Genomic DNA, 23,984 nt, shown 5'->3' with positions numbered 1-23,984 from the left:
TGAACCTGGGAGGCGAAGGTTTCAGTGAGCTGAGATCACGCCACTGCACTCCACCCTGGGCAACAAGAGTGAAATTCCATCTCAAAAAAAAAAAAAGATTGGCACCTTGGTGTTGCCAGTTTCTGAAGAGGGGAGAGGAGGGTTATGTTACAAGCATCACCAACAAAGAGCATTGTGACTCAGCAGAGGGGAGAGCAGTAGTAAAGACTTTGGGGATGATGCTGGACTGCCTCCCCAGCCACCCACCTTCCTTGCACACGCTTCTTGTGGCAGCATCATGAGTTTGCAGGTCCAGATGTTGCTTGCATTGTAACCACAGCTCCCTGTGCCCCCCAGTGCCTGCTGTATTTGGGTTAGATATTTTCTTATAAATAAATGATTTAATCTTTTCAGGGTGAGGGGCGAGCCCTGGGGACCTGGAAGGTGTTCACTCCAGCACCACTAGTTCAGAAAAAGGGTCTGTCCCATAAGGCCCCCAGGCTGCTCGTATTGACAGGTGCGAGCCGGCGCTTCCCTCCAGCCCGGTGGTGCCACAGTTGCTTGTGGTTTTTATTTATCAGAGAATTCAAGAACACCTGATGTGGACTCAGTGTACACAGCATACCACTTGCGAAAACCGAGTTTGTTTTCCATTATTTTCGAGAACTAAATAGACGTGACTCTTCCGGGCGGTTGTCATGAGCCACTCCCTGCCTTGCTACCTGAGTCTTCTTGGGTCCAACAAGTACCTGGGTGTGACTCTCCTTGTAAAGTGCCTCAAAATTTGCTGTTATTTCTTGTTAGGCTTAGTTAGTTGGTTTATTAGCAAGCTCATTTTCCCTGGGATGGGTTTTTTGATGAGCTGAGTTGATGTGGATGGGAACACAAGGCGCTCTTGTGTGTCTGTTGGCATCCAGGTGGCCCACAGTGTCTAGTATAAATGTCTCCATGGCTGATCTGGCCTGGGGTGCTGTGAACAGGCTTCCTGCTGTGAGCAGGTAAGAGTGTTGTGAATGAATTATCCCCAGAGTCTGCAAGACAACCGGCCAGGTGGTGCTGAGTGTGGCAGGAAGAGGAATCGGATGCAGACAGACAGGCATGTGTTTCCTGGCCTCACTGCTCACTCATGAACCCTGTGACCTTGGTCCCACTTTTTCCATCTGCGCTATAGGAATGCACCTCTTTGGTTACTGTGATCATTAAATTACGTAATTTAGCCAAATACCTGCTGCAGGTGCCTGGCACCACCGGCACCACCAGCACCACCAGGAATGGTCGCCACTAGCACCACCACCTCCACCATGAATAGTTTTTGCGGTCTTCCTGGGTGCCAGGTGCCTTTGCACACACACTTCCTTATTCAGTCCTTAACAGCATCCTTTAGGTAGGTATTATTCCTGGAACAGACTGATCATTTCCAGAGGCCCAGGGCTGTTTCCCCTGGATCATATTTACCTCCCTGGCTCTCCATAAGAAAACATCCATTTGCTTGGCACTTTGTCATCCTTTGAGTCCTGCCAACAAGGTGGCGAGGTAGGTATTTGTCTTCATTTTGTACACACAGGGCTGGGTCTAGGAAGGTCAGTCACGGCACAGGGTCACATGGTTTCTAAGGGGCAGGTCTCAAACCACCAGTCTCCTGCCCTCTTCAGCACTTTTCCCTGAAAGGAAGACGAGGGGACTTTTCTTCTGAGACCAAAACGGCTCACACTTGGGATAGCAGAAGATGTCATCTCTGGGCCAAAGAGATAAGGTCATATGTTCCAAGAGGCACCCACTCTGGCTGTGGCTCCCTAAAGGGGAAAGAGGTCTGCAGGGCAAAGGGACATGTCCCCTGGACCCCCAGATCCTTCCTTTTCTATAATTCTCTGCCCAAATGCCCCTTTGCTAGCTGCCAGGGCCTGCACTGAGTTCATCTTCCCTGGGGCCACTTGTGTGCCCATGCCTCGGCTGAGAATGGCCAGCTGTGGCTGAGACGTGGACATGGTTGGAGCTCAAACATGCAGCCCCGGGTGTCCACACTCATGTGCGAGGCCCCTTGTTACAATGACCAGGTGGGGATGGCAAGAGAAGGGGAATGGGCCGCGGACCAGGGGCCTCCACCGATATCCTGGCCTGAGCCCAGCAGGCATTAGGAGCAGGTCAGCTAACCTGGGACCTGACTGGGGCTGTGTGTTTGATTTCCATTTCCATTTTCAGTTCCGCTCTCATCACCAAAGAGCCCACTCCTGGTGCCTGTGATGTTATGACAGACCGTAAGCCAAACTGGAGTCTGGTTCTGGGGGATTTTCTACGTCTCCTCTTTTTTCTTATCAAGATGTAGAGATGTGCTTTGAGGTCGCCACTGTTCCAAGATCACATTGTTTTTCTTTGTGATGATTCTGTTTCCTACATTGTACGGTTTTGAGGCCGTTTCTTGATTGGGCCAGCCTTGACGTCAGCTCTCGTTATGTGATGCTCTCACTTTCCCTCTTAGTCCCCTCAAGGTCTTGGTCAACGTCAGTGTACTTTTCTCTCTTTCCTTTAGTTGGAATCACCATCCATGGAAAATACTTCCTGGAAACGTTTTGGAATAGAAAGGGAAGAAGAAATAGAAAGTAAGCACCACATAAAGTAACCAATGACATGGAATAAATAATCTCTGTTTCATTTGAAGTCCACTCCAGGGCAGTCTCTACTGCCTGGCAAATCAATCCCTTTTTGTCCACTGTTCACCCCACACTGGTGCAGTGGCAGTGTCCCTTTGCCGAGATGCTGAAACACCCAGCTTGCCCATGAGGCGGTGGGAGGGTTGAATGAGATAAGGCACACACAGTGGGTGCTTGATAAATGGGTGTCATCTTATTATACATCCAGCAGGTTTTCAGAGATCCACAAGGTGTGATGCTGGGCCCTGCTGGACTGCAAAGGTGGACGAGACAGGCCCACTCCTGACTCATAAAGGAGGGAGATGAGGTTTGTGCACAGAGCACAGGGTGGCCGCCATCTGCTTTACTGAGGCATCCCAGCAACCAAGAGCATCAGCTACTATTTATTGAGCTTTTAATATGTTCCTGGCATTGCGCTGAGAACTTCACATGCTTTGTAAAGACACTCATTTGCATGGTAAGACCAGCTTGGACTCTGGAGCCAGACTGCCTGGGCTGGAATCCTGGTTCTAACATTTCCCACTTGTGTGGCCTTAGGCACATCTGTTAACCTCTCTGTGATGCCCTCTCTCTATCTGTAAAAGAGAAACAACAGCAGTACCTACCTCATCTGGATATTATGAATTGGATGTTTTAATGTCTTTAAAGCACTGCCAGGCGCATAGCACTAATGCATTAATGTGCCCAGCAACAGTACAAAGTAGCTTCTCTGTTGGGATGTTTACTTGTCAAGCTAGGAAACCAAGGCTTTGGTAATAAACGCACCCAGATCCCTTGCCAGCAGTGGTCTGTCTGCTGCTTGGAGGCCTGGGTGCTACCCACAGTGCTACATTGCCACCCAGTGCTGGGACTTGGCCTAAGGTCAGGGCCAGCCTTGCAGAAGGGTGGGCACTGATCCCAACCAGGTCCCTCAGCTCTAGGCCCTGTGAGAGCTACAAAGTTGTGTGAGATTACAGAGGCCCAGAGAGAGTGCTAAGGCATGGGGGTCCCCTGAGGCTGTTCTCTTGCTTGGGGCTAAGAGATTGGTGGTGACTGGTGCTTGGGGGAGTGGGGCCCATGGATGTATCTCTGGCTAGAGGAGAGGAGGATAAAGGTGGAGAGGAGGCCGCAGAAGGGCTTTTTTGTTTACCTGCATAGTCCAGTCCCTCCATTTCTTTTCTTTTTAATTGGGAGAAAAGGTCTTGCTCTGCCACCCAGTGGCATGATCATGGCTCACTGCAGCCTCAACCTGCTGGGCTCAAGCGATCCTCCCGCCTCGGCCTCCCAAGTAGCTGGGGCTACAGTCTCGTGTCACTACATCCAGCTAATTTTTAATTTTTTTTAGAGACAGGATCTTACTCTGTTACCCAGGCAGGCCTCACAGTCCTGGGCTCAAGTGATCCTCTCTCTTGCCTCAGCTTCCCAAAGTGTTGGGGTTACAGGTGTGAGCCCCAAGGCTGGCGACAATATCCATTTCTTAAAAGCAGAATGAATTCAGCTTCAGGGAAGCAAAGTTGGGCTGGATGGAATATTATACTCAGTAGAATGTCTGAGATCTCCCTCTGAGATGTCCCTCTTGCCACCTTTATTATGGGCACTTTAGAGGTGGCAACTTTGGGTGACACAGGCCCACCATCTTAAGGGTTACTGTCCACGTCCCCAATGCAGCTGTCATCTTCCCTAAGGGGAGGACCTGTGCTCCCCTTCGTCCTTAGATGTGGGGGTCTTGTTTAGATTTGTGGGGCACCTTGATTCCAAATAGTCCCATTTCTTTAATGAGCATTTAGGAAACTGTCAGATCATGTGTCCCAATGTTGGTTCAAGACTTGACACTTTGATAGACATGAACTAATTCCAGTGTCTTCTAGATTCATTAGTTAAAAATAGGACTTGGAGTTATGATAAACCATTTCAAATGGATTTAAATCAAATAGCAGAGTTTTGATAAAAAGTATATTTATTATAAAAGTGATCTTTTAACTGGTGAAAACTTGGAAGACAGGTAATTATAAAGAAGATAAAATAAGGTATCTAGATCATAACCCTGATTAGCATTTTGGTAGGTTTCTCTCTGAACTTTTCCCCTCCCTGCCTCCCTCCCTCCTTCCCTCCCTTCCTCCCTCTCTTCCTCCCTCCCTTCCTCCCTCCCTCCCTTTGTCTCTTCCTCCCTTCCTCCCTTCTCCCCTTTCCCCACTTCCCTCCCTCACTCTCTCCCTCCCTCCCTTCCTTCCTTCTCCTCTCTCCTCACCTTCCCTCCCTCCCTCCCTCTCCCTTCCTCCTCCCTCCTTCCTTCCTTCTCCCCTCTTCCTCTTTCTCTCCCTCCCTCTCTCCCTCTCCGTTCTCTCTCTCCTCCCCTCCTTCCCACCCATCCATCCATCCTTCACTCACTCATTTGCAAACATGTATTGAACTCCTATTGTACCAGGCACTGTGCTAATTGGAAGGCTCAATAAAGTGAATCTGGGGAGGACCAGGATACATCACTGCCAGGGATGACAGAGAATAAAGTGCTGTGATAGGGACATGGGGCATCCGATGCCTGACAAGAGAGGGACTGACTCTACCTGGACAAAGAGTGACCTCTGGCCTTGTGTGTGCCTTGCCATTGTTTCCTCTACAAAAGTGGGTCATCTGACCTGATTTTTTCAGTTAATTTTATGAGTATTTCCCCATGACCATTAATATTTAAAATGGCCTTTTAAGAGACAGCCTTCCCATTGTCTTTTGTGGGATTGCACTACTGAGCGACCCGTCTCCAACCTGTATTGGCAAAAGCTACGGACGAGAGAGGCCTCATGGAGAAGTGCAAAGGGAGAGGCCTTGGGGTCTGACCTGGCTCCCAAGAGCTCAGATTCCGGGTAGTCTCCTTTCCTCCCCCTTGTTCCTCCCCTTGGACCCCCTTTCACTCTTTCAGTCTGAACCTTAACAGAAGGATTCAGCCCGCCTAGGCGCTGGGCCCCACTTGCTGTGACCCGTCATTGTTTCTGCATGGCAACCAGGGAGCGCCTGCTCCCTGCCAAGCCCAGCGATCAGGACCAGAGTATGTGCAGTTCTGACCTGTGTTCTCCCCTCCCCTGGCAGAGAGAAGCTCAGTGACTGTCCTTGCGTCATTTGAGCAGAGCCCACAAAAGGCAGCTGCTGCCCACGGGGAGCCTGTCAAACGAGGGCCCAGTGGGCAATGTGAGCTGAAGTTCCTTGACCACAACAAGCCTACCAAACCCCACTGGCTTTCCCCCAACCACTGCAGGCTACAAGTCCCCCAGTGACCCTGACGTGCAGTGAGTCTTCCTGAACCCTGTCCCTGAAGCAGCCATCACGTGGGGTATGGATTCAATTTTATTTGCTCGCAGGTGTCTAATTGGCCCGGCACCACTGCCTTTGGATGCCGCTTGTGTCTGAGTCTACATCATTTGTCAGAGTTTTATGTATCTTTTTTCTGAGGTAGTAATAGTCATCCTCTGGACAAGATCCTAGAGCCTGGAAAGTTCCAACCTGAAAGTCTGTATCCAGGGACAGGACCCTGTTGGGCAGGATGACAACGAGGGAGTTTCTAGAGTGGGCGTTCACCCTGGAGGGGCCCTTGGAGATCAAGGAGTTCAGCGTCCTTGTTCCATACCCAAGGACACGTGGGCTTGGAGAGTTCATATGAATTGCAGCCATCTTCTCCACGGGAGGGAACACCGTCTCTGAGGCTGCTCATCTGTCCTGGAGCCCTAAGCAGGTGTCTGTGGGAGGGCACTGGCTGCTTCTCCCTGCAGTTCTTCCTTCTATACCTGTGTCTCGTGGCTTTCCTGCCCGCCTCAGAGGAGGATATCTGGGGCATATCAGGTATACACAGTCACCCACGTTCAGACTATGAAGGGCGTGGCCACTGCACGCAGGACCAGAGAACGGATTTGGACACGTCTGTAAATAAGCCGCAGGTTCACAGCACAGTGCCTTTCAAGGGAAGCACTGTAAGCTCACTGAGCAAGGGACCCAAGAGTCAAACCCTGCAACGTCACCCTGAGGGGGACCGGGAAACATTGTGTAGGGCGGTGACCCCAACTGGATGGTCAGACCCAGTGTGGCCTCTGCCGTGGGGGTTCAGCTGCGTGTTTCTCGGTCTGGAGGCCCCAGCAGGGCCTACGCAAGCTGTGGGGAGGAGGCTCCCCTGCTGGGGATTCTTTGACAGGGTGTTGGGTGTCAGAGGCCCAGGGCCAGAGCACCAGGGGCCCCAGTGGGAGGAGCCAGGTGTAGGGATGCCACCAACCAGCCCAGCAGCAACTGCAGGAGGCCCGCGGAGCCTAAGTTAAGGTAGTGTGGAAACATCTCGGAAGTCACCTCGGGAGCCTGGATGGAACATGCCATGTTCTGATTCAGTGGATCTGCTGTCTGAGACTCTGCATTTCCAACAAGCTCCCAGGAGTTGCTGGTGCCGCTGGGCTAGGAAGCACATCTTAAAGAGTGACACTTTTAGGCTACTTTTTTTTTCTACACCCTACTTCCAGCTTCTGATTTCTAGCCCTGGAGGTGTAGGCCACAGCCCTGAGTAGCCCCTGCCCTACCTGCTTCTCTCCAGGGTTCCCCAGCCCTCCACTCTTCTCCCAGGGTCATTCACATCATCTTTGATTCGGGGTTTTCTCTGTCCCCCAATCCCCCTCTCTTCTGCAGCACCTCTCAGATAACCCCTGTATTAAAATCACAGTGACCAGACACACATGCCCTGGCTGGGGGATCACACATGCGAACCTGCAGACAATTCCAGATACCCAAGGCCAGGAAGGCCCACGTGAGGATGTCACTCACCCTGGAGGAGACTTGGATGGGGTGGCAAATTTCTATTTGGAGGAAGAGGGTTTCCAGGATGGCAGATGCCAGAAGATGGTCCTGATGTCTGAGGAAGGGCCACCTAGTTTGACAGGATGGTAAGTCGTAAGCCCACTCAGATATTTGGCTGGGTCTTTCTGATGAGTGGAAGAGACTTCAAAAAATACTACAGAGTGTCCTTTCTTTCTCAGCAGCCAACAGGTGAAAAAACAGCTTTATTCCGAAAGAAAATGGTCTAGTCATTGAGGAGGACGGAGTGTATCCTGCAGGGCCTGCCTGGTCTTGCAGGACAGATTGGCAGAGAGGAAGTCTTGCCATGATGTCCTGCCTGTCAAGTGTGATGGGTAGGTCGCAGGGAAAACAGGCACTGCTGGGCTCCCCAGCAGCCAGTGCATCAAGGAAAGACCAGGGCCCAGGGGGAAGTTAACACACATAGAAAGATGCTGCATGTACTCATGTGTGAGATTGGGGTTCACTCTCGGCTATAGAAAGATGAGCTTTAGGCCAAATAATCACTATACAGGGGAATGATGGCAGTGGCGCACTGTATTTGGAAACTAGCTGGGCAGTGACAGAAATTGGCCCAAGAGAGGTATAGATGCAGAGGAGAGGAAGAAAAGTATTCTGAAGCCCTCGAGTGCAATGTCCACAAAGCAACAAGTTCAAACTTTCCAAGTCGATGCAAAGAATCCTGAGACGGGTGCATGAGAACAGTAGACCTGCAGTTGGGGGATTGCAGATGCCATGAGGAATTGCAGACTTTTGTCCATTGGATTCTTGAGATGTGTAAGGTTCCTTTTGTATGTGGGGCTCTACATGGTATATGAGAAAAGGTAAATGGGTAGATGGGCAGCTGAGTGGATTCTCAGCAGGTCGGGAGGACAGCAGGGTGGTCCTTAGTCTGACCCCAAGGAAGAGCCAGCAAAGAGGACGGGCGGCAGGTGGGAGCTGCCTGGCTCAGGTCCCCTCATAAGTGCTCTAAGTCAGGGGGTATGGGGATGGCTGCCGAGGGAGCATTTTATTTTATTTTATTTTTATTTTTTATTTTTTCTTTCTTTATTTTTATTGATTATTCTTGGGTGTTTCTCGCAGAGGGGGATTTGGCAGGGTCATAGGACAATAGTGGAGGGAAGGTCAGCAGATAAACAAGTGAACAAAGGTCTCTGGTTTTCCTAGGCAGAGGACCCTGCGGCCTTCCGCAGTGTTTGTGTCCCTGGGTACTTGAGGTTAGGGAGTGGTGATGACTCTTAACGAGCATGCTGCCTTCAAGCATCTGTTTAACAAAGCACATCTTGCACCGCCCTTAATCCATTTAACCCTGAGTGGACACAGCACATGATTCAGAGAGCACAGGGTTGGGGGTAAGGTCACAGATCAACAGGATAAGAATTTTTCTTAGTACAGAACAAAATGAAAAGTCTCCCATGTCTACCTCTTTCTACACAGACACGGCAACCATCCGATTTCTCAATCTTTTCCCCACCTTTCCCCCCTTTGTATTCCACAAAACCACCATTGTCATCATGGCCCGTTCTCAATGAGCTGTTGGGCACACCTCCCAGACGGGTGGTGGCCGGGCAGAGGGGCTCCTCACTTCCCAGTAGGGGCGGCCGGGCAGAGGCGCCCCTCACCTCCCGGACGGGGCGGCTGGCCGGGCGGGGGGCTGACCCCGCCACCTCCGAGGGAGCATTTTCGTGTGCCCCATATCACTGTCCAATGAGACACACAGAGACCTCTCTTAGCCCAAAGCAACAAGGCATGGCACTTCTGAACACTTGAGAGGACAGAGGAAATTTGCACTCTAGAAAAGCAGCGTGGAAGTCAAGAGATCCTCCTGCCTCTCTTCCCAAAGGGCTTTTCTGGCAGATTTCCCTACCAGCTGACATACCCCAAGCCCCGCCTGCTTCTCTCCAGGGCTCCCCAGCCCTCCAATCTCCTCCCAGCATCATTTGCATCATCTTTGATTCAGGATTTTGCCTGTCCTCTCCTCTCCTCTCCTTCCGCAGTGAGAGGCTCACAGGTTCCCATCACTTCTCCAGCCATTCCAAGTCTTGGTCCTTCCTTTCCCCCCGACAGCCCCTGTTTCTGTCCAGGCCCTGAGATCCTGCAGTTTCCTAACTGGTCTCTTGGCCTCTAGGCACTCTTTGCTCTGCTCTAGGGCCCCTCAGACACCTCTTTGGGGGCATTTTTCTCAAGCACTAATTTGGCCCAGGTCAAACAAACCTTTGGTGGTTCCCAATTGCCAACAGGTTGAAAGTCCAAACTCTTTAACTTAGCTTTGCGGTTCTCTGAACCCTGCTCCCGGCTCTTCTTGCCTCTTCCTGCACTGGTTTCCGGCACAGCCATTGCATTTCTGCCTAGCTAACTTCTTCAATTCATCCTGAACGCGCCATGCTTCCCCCTCTGATCTCCCAATGCATGGATCTTTCCAGCCAAGGTCCATTTCAGCTTCCAAATCAAGTTCCACTTTTAAGTGGTGACATTGCCTATTGGGTGCCAGGCTCCCTTGGGATTTAAGGTCTGGGGAATTCAGATGCAATTCCACTTTGCATGCTTTCCTCAGAGGCTTGTGACTGCGTGGCCGTCACAGCCTCCTGGTTTCTGCCTTCTGTACATCTGTCTGCTCGTTTACCCCATCATCTGGGTGTAAGATGCAGTCAAAACTCAACTACACGAAATACTTAGGGGTCGTGTTTTGGTATTGTGGAGAACTGGGGATTTTCTGGAGAAACCCAGCCTTGTATATGGCAAACATACGCGCACACACAAGTATTTTTAAAAACATTCTTCCTGCCCCCTTGCCACTGGAATGTTCTCTTAGCCCCAGGTTGGCATCCGGCCTCAAACTTTTGCTGCCGTGGCTCTTTTTGCTCACACTCTTCGACCTCTCACTCAATGACTCCTCCCACCCCTTCTCCCAAGCCAACCCTCTGTACCCTCCCCGCCCCCCAAAAAAGAAAAATCAAAATCCGTCTGCTTGTCTCATGCAGTTTAGTTCACCCTCTCCTCTGAGCCTTGGAATAGATAGCATTAGAACTGTGGGACCTCACCTTCTGCCGTATGCTCTGGTCAAACTCTCCCACCCCCACCCAAGCAAATAGCATTCTTTAAGAAGGCACCAGCTATTCAGGCATGCCCCATGTACTTGGTTATGCCTGTGCGACATCACTCCATGGCTCCCTGGTTCAGCCTTTCCTGGGGTGGTCCAGTTTCAGGATGGGCCCAGACCGGACTGTTAATTCTCTTTGTGCCAAGCCTTACGTCTTGCACTTGGGCAGTGGGGCAGTGACCACTTTTGATAGGGACAATGATGGTAGTATGAGGGCCCACCGCTAAGTCACTCTGGGAGCTTTTTTTGAGAGGAAGGTAGAGTCTGCTACCTCTTTAAGAGTACTCTAAAAGTGCCAGATGGCTCAGGTGCCTGAAAAATCTCCTACAAAAGGAGGACACACAAGAAGATGAAAACACAGCCAGATAAGGAGAGGGGCTCCCAGGATCGCTGGAGGAAAGGGAAGTCCATCCCTGCAGATATGGTAGGGGGAAGCCCTGGGGCTGCCTGTCCCAAGTTTCATTCATTCATTCAAAAATGTGTGTCTGAGTCCTACTCTGTGCCAGGAACAATTCTAGAAACTGGGAACACACCAGTGGACAAGACAGACTTGGTTTCTGCTTCCATGGCGGTTATACTAAGGGTCCTCCCTTAAATCAAGAGACCACCCCTCATATTGTCTTATGCCCAATTTCTGCCTCCAAAGAAAGAAGTAAAAACTAAAAGGCAGAAATGAAATCCACAAGCAGACAGCCTGGCACCACACCCTGTGCCTGGTAGCTAAAGATGGACCCCTGACCTAATTGGTTATTTGCATAAAAAAGCGCTGTGAAGATCCCTGTCCTGTTCTGTTCTAATTACCCGTGTATGCATCCCCCAGTCACATACCCCCTGCTTGATCACGACCCTCTCATGTGGACCCCCTTAGAGTTGTGAGCCCTTAAAAGGGACAGGAATTGCTCACTCGGGGAGCTCGGCCCTTGAGACAGGAGTCTTGATAAAGCTCCCAGCCGAAGAAACCCCTTCCTTCTTTAACTCGGTGTCTGAGGAGTTTTGTCTGCGGCTGTTCCTGCTACAATACTAACCAAAAGACAGACATCAGGCAAATAAAAATCTTGTGGTTGTGCCGAGAGCTCTAAGGGACAATGGAGGGATTGCCCAGTGTAACCCACAAGCTCAGGCCGTAGTCAGTACTGAATCAAATTCATAGGGACAGGAAGGGATGTGGGTGGGGCCAGGGATGACCAGGAGGGAGGCTCAGGAGAAATGGCCAACAGGTGATATGTGTCCCAAGTCCATCATGAGGGAAACCTTACTAACAAAGAGCCTGGAGCCAATTCCCCAGGGCTAGATACCCTCTCTGGGACTGGACTAAATGATTGCTAAGAGATTCTTAAAGCTTCTTGGAAAGAAATGCGGGCAGGAAAGATGATGAGTTTTAATGGTTCTAATTTGTATTTTTTGCTTATTTCACTTAGCAGGAAGAGGCTTCTGGCATGGAAACAACTGATTTCATAGAGAACCCGCAGCTGGATTCAAGTTCAACCCAGAAAAATAGACAGTGAGGGCTACCTGAAGTTTGGGGAGGGATTGCATTTGTTCCAGCCTCATGAGTCACACAGTATTACACCATCCTTGTGGGACAACTTCCATAAGTCTTTTTGGGGCAGTGACCTGCCAGAGTTTCTTGTGGGGAAGGGCTTAGAGTATGGCTCTTTCTTCGTAGGAATAATTTGAAGCCTGGGATGCTGCTATCATTTTTACAGAGACTTTTTTCTTCTTCTGACAGATGCTGCTGGCAGTACCAGCCTGGGACACCATAATCCAAGTTCACAGCTTGAGTTTCCCTGGATCAACCTGACAACATGAAGCTAAGTTCCAAGTCCATGGAGGGTTGGTTTACTTCAGGCTCACCCTTATTCTGAGAGTATAGCCCTTCAGAGTTAGTGTAAAGGAGATGAGGGGACCTATTTGGGTCCCCAACTTTGGTGGCGCTGGGCCGTGACTTTTGTCTGTGAGCCATCAGACAGGCAGTGCATTTATGAGCACATTCATTTGGATCCACCAGTGGCCTCAAGGCGACAGTGGCTTTGAGCGCTGGGCTTACTGTCCTGCATTCTCTTCTCTGTGACTGACTCTGCCCTGTCATTCTTCACTGTCTTGTTATTCTTGTTATCTCTTAGATGTCTTTAAGAAGACTGTTCTTTTTTTTTTTTTCTTTTGAGAAATGTGGCTTTGCTTTGTTGCCCAGGCTCCTGTGCTCAAGCGATCCTCCTGTCTCAGCCTCCCAAAGTGCTGGGATTACAGGCATGAGCCACCGCGCCTGGCATTTATTTATTTATTTATTTTCAATATCCCACCCTGCTTTCATAACTGTCCTCAGAGGATAGTTCCAATGGCGTTGTGGGCCATTTCGAGAAGGGGAAATCTTAGCTACTTTTCTCCACCTTTCCTTGTGGTGGGGCTTCTTGCCAGGCTGGGGAAAGTGGAGTGCAGCAGAGCCTGGGGGAGGGGAAAGGGCAGAGGGGAAGGTGGCTGTGCCCTAGGGTGTGAGCGGAGGAGGTGGGTGCTTCTGGTCTACCCAGAAGAGCCTCCAGAACCGGCATCTACATTCATCTGCCACGGAGTCCATATTTCTTGAGGGGCTTGGCAGATAGGGACAGCCCAGAAAGAGAGAGGAAGAGTCACGAGTGCCAGAGTGGCCTGCAGAACTCAGAGGATCAGAGAGCGGGGGGGTCAAGCACCAGGGAGGCCCCTCTGCAGACCATGCTGATGGCCTGTGGGACAGAAGTCTTTCTTTCTTTTGTAACGATTACCTTGGCCTTAGACTTTTACCATTTTTGGATGCCAAAGAAAATCAGGCTTCTGAGCTTGCGAAGGCTGAGTGGAGTTCCATGTGTCTCCTCTGGCCTTCATATGGCTTCCAGGAAGAAGCATCCCCTTTAACTTCATAATTCCACAGGTCTTCTGTCAGTTTGTAAGAAATCTATCTATTCACTTATTCATTCATTTCACAAATATTTACTGAGCACCTGCTAGGTGCCAAGTCCTATTCTGGGCACTGAGGACATACCAGCCTCCAAAACAGACAGAAAGAAAAAGCCCGCCCATGTGGATTTCACATTCTCAGGAATGTTTTCCTGCATGAGGATATGTTTAGAAATCTTTCACCCACCTAAGTCATCAGGATAAGAGTTTGCTCTGCTAGTACTACAGATTCCACAACTGCCTGCCAGGTTTACTTGCTTTTGTGCAAGGAAGATTTTCTCTCCAGGACTCGTATTTTCCAACAGCCCAAGGTCCATGGAGTTTCTTTAGCTTCTATCACTAGCCTTCTGGGAGTGGGCAGATCCCTCTGCCAAGTTTACACCTGCAGGGTGAGGCGGGTTGCATAGCAAACCAGAGCTCAGTGTTGGGGCCCACAAGGCTTCCATCAGGGGAAGAATGCTGGTGGAGGGTGACGGGTGGGTCTCTCTAGATGTTCAGAGGGGCCTGTGGCTTATTGCCTGGGTGGGCCAAAATGTCAGCTAAGGGAACTACAGCAGAAGGTCATTTAGCTGGAATGTTAGGATCTGAGACCAGGTAATGACTTTGCTGGGGTTTAGATGTCTGTCTAACTTCACAGGAGTACAGAGATTGAAAAAACACTTGATCCAGGCACAATATCTTCTGGATACATTCATTTGCATTCTCTTTCTCTTACACAGATTAAGAAATGGGATGCATAACATATTTGCATGATTGCAATTTATCACTTCCCCAGGGAGCAGGGAGGGGCTGCCTCAGTTCTAGTGAAGCCCTTGTGCCTCAGCATTAGAGGTAGATGGGTGAGGCAAGGGCGATTTCATGCCTTCCTTGAGGCAAGATGTCCTCTTCTAGACAAGAGGGCAGCTTGTGTGTCTTGAGGGCCATGCTTCTCCACCTACCCCCATGAATAAAGCAGTGGGGGTCCCCCAGGTGTGGCTATTTTTGGGGATTATTTTAACAGGAATGCAGAGAGGCTATAGATCAGGTTCGACAATTTGCTGCCTGCCAACACACACTTTACTTGTGTTTTAAAATGTAAGCTCTGGAAACATCCTATGGGGTTCACAAGGATGCCTTAGCAGCTGACTGAAGGAAGTGTCTTTCTCCAGCCCAGGTAGCATTTCTGCCAGTCATGGCTGGTGCTGGGCTGACAACAGTAGTTTTCTTTCTAAGACCCAGTTCCCCTCTGGAAGGAGAATTCTAAAGGTGGAGGAAAAGCATCATCTCTTCTAGAACCTCTTTGTTTTTATCTTTCTTATACCACATTAGCATGGTGGTATTCTCCAAGGATCTTGGCAGGCAAGAACTGGTTTGGTCACTGTATTTGATTGCTTTTGTGGAGTCCAATAAAGAGGACTATTGTTTCTAGAAGGTCACTGGAAACATGCATCTGGCTCTTTGGTAAACACAATATTAAGACCAGTGTGAGGCTGAGGGTGTCCTGAAGCCCTGCTCTGAGATAAGAAGACTTCTGTTCACGATTTCAGTCAGAATCAAACAAGGTATGCCCAGAGCTGAGACACAGCTGAGCCAAACAGGAAGAGAGGGCCGTGTCCTACAATAAACTGCTGATATGTATCTCTCTACCATGTGCTGAATTCATTAGGGCAAGGGCTGGGTTCTTCTCCAGCATTCGTATCCCATCCCTTTCCAGTAGCTGGACTACTTAGGACACTCTCCGTAAGTTTTTGTGAATTAAATTGTATCCTCAGATACCTCCTTAGAATTTCCAAATCTGTCTTCAAATTCAAATGGAGATACACATAGCAGAGGCTGACACCTCCAAAAGAGTTTGGAGGAAGTTTACCAATATGTTACCTTCGTTTGCATTTCCACCTTATTCTCTCTTTCCCTCAGTTATTAGTACTCAGAATTGTAAGTGCTTGGGTGTCTAGTCACTCAGTTGACTGATAGAAGAAAACTCAGTTCTTTGAGATTATGTCAGGGTGGACCAAACTGTGGTAACAAATAGACCCAAAATATAATGGTTCAAACACAAGAGATGTTTATTTCTTTCTCACATAATATTCCAAGGCAGACATTCCAGATTGTTGGAGTAGGCGCAGGGAGAAAGTTCGGCTCTATGCGTTCCCTCAGGAAACAGGCTGATAGTGGCTTTGCCATATTCCAATATTAACTGGCTTCCAAAGTTGCTATCACCATTGTCATTATCAGTATAGCTCATGGGACCTGGGGAAGAACACAGAGGAGAACATCTGGGAGGTCTTATGGCCACTTGGAAGTGGCGTGCACCTCTTCTGCTCACATGGGAAAGAACATAGTCAGACACACTCAAACATCCTGACTGGGAAGTGGGGGAGTGTACCTAGCCACCTTGGAAATGGAGGAAAATTTGGGTGGAAGTAGAGAGACTCAGGTTCTTGGATTTGGAAGAGACCTTAATTGTGAACGCATCCAGTGGCCAACCCAGGATAAGCCCTGGCCTTCCTGCTGGATTGCTCCCTGCCCCCATCATGTATCTCGGCTGACTTTCTGATCTAGGAATACTAAGCATCAATCAGTGGAAGGAAAGCAGGAAGGGTCTCTTCTTTCAAATACATTCTTTGCCACTTGATAAAAAATGATGATACAGAAGAAGGAGAAAATAAATCCAGAGAAGCTGCCTGCATGGGGAAACTTGTTCTTTGTGGCCCTGTGAGGCTGAGATTGTGCCTCACAGAAGGGGCTACGTCACTGATGATGTTACAGGATCTCTAAAAACCACAGTTACTGCTTGAATCATAACTGCTGCTTCCAGTTGGCTGTGGTTGCATTTCTAGAAGGATAACTACTTTTTGTCATTCTGGAGACAAGCCAACATCAACCCACACGTGACTTTAGAAGGCTTTTCCACGTCCTAATTGCCTACCTCCTGAATAGGCTTTCTTTTAAGCTTGGTTGGCTTAACTTCTCCCATCCATCCCATTTCTACACACCCTCTCCATACCCCCACTATAACTTTCTCAGGCAAACCCTGCAGTCCTGACTCGCTGGTATCTGTTGATTGTGTTTGGACTCTCATGTCCTGCCACTGCCCTTGAGCTCTTATTTCACCTTGTGCAGACCACCCCAGTCATCTCACCCTCTCTCTAGGTCACTTGTGGGCACTTATCCATTGCCTGGATTATTGCATATGTTTGTTCAATATTAATCATGTCTTCTCTGTGATGTTGTATACTCCTTGAGCATTTGGGACTTTCTCAGGCTTGAACGTGGTGCAGTGAGCATTCTGTACACATTTCTGGACAATGGCAGTCTTGTGAGAATCTGGGAGACTCTGCAGTGACTTGAGCCGGAGATGCAGATGAATGTAATTGTTGGACGGTGGGGATTGATAAAACCTCTCTTACTGGTGGCTAGGAGCAGAAGAGGAGACTCAGCAGCAGGAGAGAACAACAAGAGGAAGGGCTCCCAACTACACTCAGCATCAGTGAACCCCACCGTAGCTGGATCATATCTGAATTGGCCACACCCTGGGGCCTTAGACTGTCTGGGCAATGGCAGGGTGCTGGCAGTTGGAGGGATGCTGCTAGAGGCTGACAGTGTTCTTACTGGAAACACTCAGCTCAATGGATAGGACAACAGCTTCCCAAGGAGATGGGGGAGCAAGGCCAAGCGAGGAAAGCAGGACTTGTGGAGGGCTTTGGGCCACCTCACCTACTTTCCCTGCTTCTTCCCCCCAGGGGCCTTGCAGACAGTGCTTCTTGCCCAGAGAGAGTAAAGGGTGGGATGGGGAGAGGGCATCATTCATTTCTTGTGTCTGAGGTGAACGAGTGTGAGATGAGCTCCGGCTCACTCTCTTCAAGCTGGAACTTAAAGGACTCCCAGCTGCCCCTACACTCCAGTCATTCATGGAGTGAGTGCCAAGCTCATCTCTATTTGAAACTCAGGGTCTCTCTGGGAGCCCAGAATTCCTGAGCAATTGTTTTATGAGGTGTAAAGTGTTTCTTCAGCAGGGAGGATGATGCGGGGCAAGGCGAAGGCTTAGAAAAGACAGTTCTACTGTGCAAATTGACTACAGACCTGGATAGGAAATAGGGAAACAAGCCGCATGCCTCATAGCAGGTTCCCTGGGAAATTCCCTCCTCTCCTAATGTCTTTCCTACAGGCACCCCCCATCCCGGTGGGCTATGAGATTTTGCCCCCTCAACCTGAGAACTGACAGGGGGTAATCAGGGTGAGCGCTGGAGAAGCACAAGTGAGATTCTGAAGAAGCGCAAGTGAGACTCTGGAGACCTCTGTAGCGTGAACTCTCTGCTGAGACCGTTCAACTTGTGCCTTTCTTACGGCCCAAGTTCCAGCAGCACATTTTCCAGTGTGGGATCCCTCTTCCCTGGCAGCAGCTCTGCCAGAGCCCTGGGTGTTTACTGTGACACACCATAGAGAAACGGGGAAGGAAGTCAAGTCCATCATGACATGTCTTAGTTCTGGCCATTTCTAACACCTAAGAAGAGGCTGACAGAGTGCCCGAGGGCCCCAGGGACACCACCCATCTCCCAAGGGGGTGCTTTTTAGATTTCTCCTTGCCACCCAGCTGTGAGGTATGAAATAATTTAGTAGGCCTTGCACCATTGAGAATAAAAGGAGAACAGACAATTTCAGCACGCCTGGCACATAGCAGGGTAAGTATTGTTTGGTGAAACTTACATTTCCTCTCTAGGTACACCAATAGGTGCAACGCGTACCCACATAAGATGTATTTCTTATTGTGGTCCTGGTTAAAAAAAGCGTCTAAGTGGTTCTATTACAGCATCTCAGCTGATTCCAAGTATTCAGGGAATGAGGGTGGAGCACAGAATGGGAGTGGGGAGGAAGGTCCCAAAGAACGGGTTGAACTTTTCTGCCTCCTGAGCTAAACGTAGTCTCCCCACCTCCCTGAGGATTTAAGGGCCTTTGACTCAGCCTTTTGGGACCTGAGAGACCACCATAAGCCTTGTGCTTTGAATACTTCTTGCAGCAGGCCCTGCCAAAAGTACCTGGATGGGAAGGGCTGCCCTTTAAGAACTTGAATTTAAAGGACTTCAGTGGTTAGTTGTAAAAGTGAATGACGTACCAAGGGCTTTTATTTATCCCTAGAACTCCTGTAATTTCCAAGATGCATAGACTGGAAGAAGATAGCCCTGCTACTCATACTTGAAAGAAAGGAGGAGAGGAGAGGTTGGCCCACCTCCCTCCTGCTCTCCCTCCCTTTCCCAGGCCTCCTTCTCTCTCTTTGCCTTGTCCCTAGCAGGGAAGGAGATTGGAACAGGCAGCCTTTGGGGACTGTGGGACCCTCTTCCTGATAGGTCAGATCCACAGTGGCCCAGGAAGGCCCTACCTGGACAGCGAATAGTGTCTCTAGGGGGAGGGAAGTTTCCTCCAGGTGGGACCTTTGGTCACATGGCCTCACATGGTTTATGTCTCAGAGTGACAGGTGTCGCTTGTTATAAGACACAAGAGTAAAAAGCAAAGAGGAGCAGACAAAGGCAGGTCCTCAAGGGAGGTGGGCTCTGCAGGATTCCCTAAGAGCCAAAAAGGCACAACAAGGGAGCCCAGTGGCACTGGTAGGCTTCTGAGCATAGGCATTCCAGGGCTTTGTTATTATTTTTTCCAAATGGAAACCTCTTTAGAAGATCAACTGTCATAATTTGCCCAAGCTACAAGCTCAAACATGGCTAAGAAACATTGCTCAAGGTCATTTCCAAAAGCACGTTCTTCCAGCTTTTCGAGGTCGGGGCGGGGATTTGTGTTCTGTTCTCATTTTTGCTTGTGTCTTTGCCCATGGTTGAACTGAAGAGGTCTCTCCAGGCCCAGTGTTCACCGGAAGAAGGGGAGATGGGAACTATTCCCAGCCACTCTTCTCTCAAGAACTGATGGGGAGTCATGGGTCCCTGCCCCACTTGTCCATGTGAGAGGGAAGCAGGTGTGCTTTTACCAGAAAGAGTTCTCGAGGGGTTAGCACCCCAGGAATGCATCTATGCTGACTCTGCTTATCATGACTCCCCACCTTCAAAATACATCTTAGGGTCACCGCACATCCCAGAAAGTGGCAACACAGGGGCACCCCTCGATGTGCCGAGTATCCAGAGTCACGTTCTTGGAAGGCGTGACCAGCGTGTAATTTAAGCAAATGGAATCTTTCCCAAATGTCTTCTTTTACAACTGAAAAAACAAATTAAGCAACAGAGGAAAAACAAATCCAGAGAAATAGCCTCTTCCGGGGAAGTCTGACCTCCCTGTCTAGAAGGTGAGGACAGTGCTGCGGCCGTGTTTCTGCTGGCTCCGGCCCGAGGCTGTCTCCCAGACAGCTGCTGTCCCACTGAATTAGGTTCAAGCGAACACGGCCATTGAGATCCAAAGTATTTCTGGCTGGTTTGGGCGTGGGTCCTTTCTCTAGATGAATATTTTAATGTGGGAATTCAGAGGAAAGCTATGGGGAAAGCAGTGTTGGTCAACTGACGACGCTAAAGAACCACCTTCGGTGGTTGTCACGGTGAGTTTGGCACTGAAGGCTCTTTGCTGTTCTGACCTGAAGCTCTCTGTTAGGACTTCCTGCTATTTTTCTCACAAGCCCTCATTTTCGCTGACAGTTCAGATCATGCCCTGTGCATATCCAGTTCCCCCGGTAGGCACGGCTCCTCCTTTCACCTCAATGCCCCGCTTTCCGCTCGGCCCACACTGGACTCTTGCTACCTCTTGTTTTGGCTTATGTTTAATCTTACTTTTTTAAAGCAACATCTTCTGATTATGAAATAATTTATACTTTTTTTTTGCAGAGAATGTGGAAAATACAGAAAAGTATAAGCAGAAGCATAAAAATTATTCACAGTTGCACCCTTGGAGGGAGCTGTCCTATAAATCTTGGTGAATTTGCTGCCCTTCTTTTTTCTGTGGATCTGTCTATTACATGTGATAGTTTTTAAAGCTGATGTCATGTTATTGATGTAGTTTTGCTTCTTGCTTTATCCATTGAAGACTATAATGTGAGAAATTTCCTCGCTGGGGCTCTTCCCAAACCTGATATTTACTGACCACACCAATATTCAATTGAATGAGGGAGTGTCATAATTCAATCACTTATAGTTTCCAGAAACGTTGTGCTCATTTACATTTTCCTTAGCAGCATATGAGGGTGCATGAATCCCATCATCACAACGCAATGGAATTAGGGAGAAATGCCAGTGAAAGATGAAGAGAGATGAGGCAGGACTAGCAGGAGCGCCTCAGACCCTCATTTCTGCAGGCAAGAAAGGAAAGGATCCTGTGGAAGGGTCTCCCACTGCTGTGTGATTCTAAAAGCTTTGGGCAGGGGATAGGGAGTCTCCAAACCAAAGCCTGGTGGCCATTCTGTGACAGGCAGGAGTGGGCTGCTATGAGGACCCTGGTCATGTTGAAGCTTTGGCGGGGGGTCACCAAGAGGTGGATAGCTGGAGCTGTCAGTCAACTCTGCTTCCCAGGGGCAGATTCTCTCAAAACAGACCAGAACTATAGCCCTTGCTCTCCCATGCCCACCCCACTTCACCTGATAAACAGGAAATATAATTAAAACATATAATTATGAACTGTGAAAATGGTCTAATTTTGCTGGTTTTCATTCTTCTGATTAACCTTGATGTCAAACATTTCTCATGAATTTTGTTACATACTTGTACTTCTAAGAATTGTGTGCCTGGGTTCTCTGTTTGCCCGTGATTGTTTTCTTTATTGATGTTTTAAGAGGATTTGCGGCATTAAGCCTGTTAACTCTTTCTCCATTCTCTTTCATATTTTAACCAATTTATCACTTCTCTTTATATTTTATGTAGGATGTTTGGATGTTTTAGAATAACTCACTCTTCTGTTAAGATCACTTTTATTTACTTCATGTTCAGAAAATTCTTGCTCATCCAGGCTCTAGTTAAATATATGCCAGTATTTTATTCTAGATACTTTTGGATTCTTTTTTTTACATTTAATACACTGGGGTTTTATTTCAGTGTATGAGGGAGGGATCAAACTTGATTATTTTCCCCCCTTTTAGCCACATTTTCCAATTTTACTTTCAGATAATTTAACCATTAACCATTTCTTCCTGGTGATTCCTTTCTGAGATTTAAATTTTTAAAATATGTATGATAGATCTCAGGACTATCTGTTTCTACTTCATTGGATGATCTACAGAATCTTGTACCACCAGCACCACACTGTTTTAATTATTGTATCAAGAATAATACAGTTAGATATCTCTTAGGGACAGTATCTCCTTGATATTCTTTAAGCAGTTCTTAACTCTTCTCATCCTTTTTTTCCCTTCCAGATGGACTTTCATCAAATTCAAAGAAAAAAAAAAGATTCCACTGGGATTTAATTCAGATTGCATTTCACCGAAAAATTACAAGGATTAACAACAAGGATTAATAGCATTGCTGCATTCATTATGGCAACCCAAGGTTATGTCTCTCTATTGACTATTCTCTTTAATTAATCTGTGTAAAAAGTTTGCATTTTTAATATAGGTCTTGGATATTTCTTATTAGTGTTCTTTATATTTTTTTCCAATACTCTTAAGAATGCATTTTTCTCCCTATATTTTCTGCTTGTTGTTAGAATAGAAACAGTATTTATTTTGGAGATTTTTGTATTTTTATCTTGTATCTGACCCCTTCCCTAATTTTTATGAATACTAAGAATTTTACAGTCAGTACTTTTATATTATCTTGGTGCATAATCATAATGTAGTCTGTAAGTAACAAACATTTTGTTTCCTTCTTTCTATTGTAGAGTTTGAGAAGTCGTCAGTGTGTAGTCCTGTTACCTTAATTGTTTCTGAGTTATGGGTTGAATTTATTTTGAAATTTCAAAAAACTTCAAAGGGTAGTATGTTATTTTTGTGTTAATCAAAATGAACAATGGGTTTCAAAAGCTTGAACAACGTCATCTTGGGAGTGCCAAATGAATAGGATGTCCTGTATGTCAGGAGCATGCCCACACTTTTCTTGCTAGGGTGAGTTTATTGTCCCTGATGAATCCCAGGAGTACTAGTCCATGATGCTCTTATTCCCTGGTGCTTTAACATGCAGTGCAGCCGGAGTTGGCCTGAACTTTAGGAAATGAGGTCGTAAGTCGAAAGAACAGGGAATTGAGAAAGCACACAGAAGCAGCCAGGGCCAACATTTTCCCCTAAACAAGCCAATCAACAAAAAGCAATGCCAAACAAGCCCCTTTGAAACTTTCAAAGTCCTCATCCTAGTACCTTCCTAGCACTCTAGGAGACATCTTTCAGCTGTTGATTTATGAACGCTGAGAGGCACGTGGAGGAATTAATGGAGGTAAATATCTAACTTAAAAAATCTTCAGTAGGCATTTTTAGACAATCCTCCTTGAAAGAAAAGTGTGGATGCTCTGTGCGTGTATTGACTGCACCTGCAGGGGTATAGCTGGAGAACACCCAGTGAGCATCTTCAGGAGCCAAGTCACGCAGGGGCTTAGCTCTCAGTCCATTGCGACAGTTGCCATGATGCCTTCTGACCATTAAACACTTTGAACTCTTTTCTCTCATCCTCTGTTATTTGCTTTGGACCCATAACAGACTCATTAGTTAAAAATAAGAAGCAAAGGTAATCCTGATGTTGAATTACAAGTTAATGCAGAGCACAGACATGAAAATAATTCTATGGGTTTGCTGCAGCATAATCCTTGCCAGATCTCCAAGTTCCATTCATCTAATGAAAAGCCTTAGTTTGAAGAACATTTTGGAGAACTCTTACATCAAGAGGTCTCCAGTACCTCAAAAACCAGTGTTCAAAAGGAAAATGCACACGCGCATTTCAGGGAGGTGGGAATAAAAGCCTTCCTTTGCGCAGCGTGTTACATGTGGAAATGTGGAACGCACACGATCATTCTTACTGTTAAAAAACCCCACAAAGATTATAAAAATATGTCAGTTTTTTTTTGGTGCAAAAACTCACACGATTAAAAATATTATACTATGAAAGCAGCTTTGATCTATTCTTCAGTCATTTCTGTGACGTGTGGTTAAATTTAATCTGTTTAAATTTTTTATTTGATTCTTCCAAACCAAACACAATATCTCATTTTAAAACGTATCTGCTGACAGTGGTTTTTCTTCTCGCCTGAATCATGCTGAGAACAGGTGTAACCAGATGTCCTCTTAGCCTACAAACACATTTCAGAAAATCATTATAAGATGCTCAATTAACTTTGAGCAAAGTAGTTTCCTGTATCCTTCAAAGAAAGACATGTTTTCAAAATGTCACTGCAGTAAATAAAAGTGTTGACATGCTGTGTAGGGCTATTAGTTATGGGGCCAGAATTCAAAATAGCTGATTGGAAGTAGGGCCAGTTGTCTATCAAAGTATTTCTAATTTATGGCAACGAAATCATGTTATCTGCATAGAACAGAACTCAGCTCTCCCTACTTCTCTGTGATGGGGGATCTATACTGTATCTGGCTCATCTAAAAGTGGTTCCAAATCACTAACAAATATGAATGGGTGTTAGACTATGCTCCTATT

At 47.7% G+C, this 23,984-nt stretch overlaps 2 annotated features.

Moving 5' to 3' along the window:
- Positions 1,971–2,472: an enhancer, noted in NCBI's record as "H3K4me1 hESC enhancer chr15:93156777-93157278 (GRCh37/hg19 assembly coordinates)". NCBI's record gives its function as "activates a minimal SCP1, AML or CMV promoter by ChIP-STARR-seq in naive and primed H9 embryonic stem cells {active_cell/tissue: H9 hESC(naive and primed)}" and the evidence as "EXISTENCE:reporter gene assay evidence [ECO:0000049][PMID:30033119]".
- Positions 8,069–8,269: a silencer, noted in NCBI's record as "peak2428 fragment used in MPRA reporter construct". NCBI's record gives its function as "represses an SCP1 promoter by STARR-seq MPRAs in K562 erythroleukemia cells {active_cell/tissue: K562}" and the evidence as "EXISTENCE:reporter gene assay evidence [ECO:0000049][PMID:32103011]".

The sequence above is a fragment of the Homo sapiens genome, chromosome 15 (genome assembly GCF_000001405.40).
Source record: "Homo sapiens chromosome 15, GRCh38.p14 Primary Assembly".
In the NCBI taxonomy this organism is placed as follows: Eukaryota; Metazoa; Chordata; class Mammalia; order Primates; family Hominidae; genus Homo; species Homo sapiens.
Note: the sequence above shows the minus strand (reverse complement) of the source record. Positions and strands in the feature narration are given on the sequence as shown.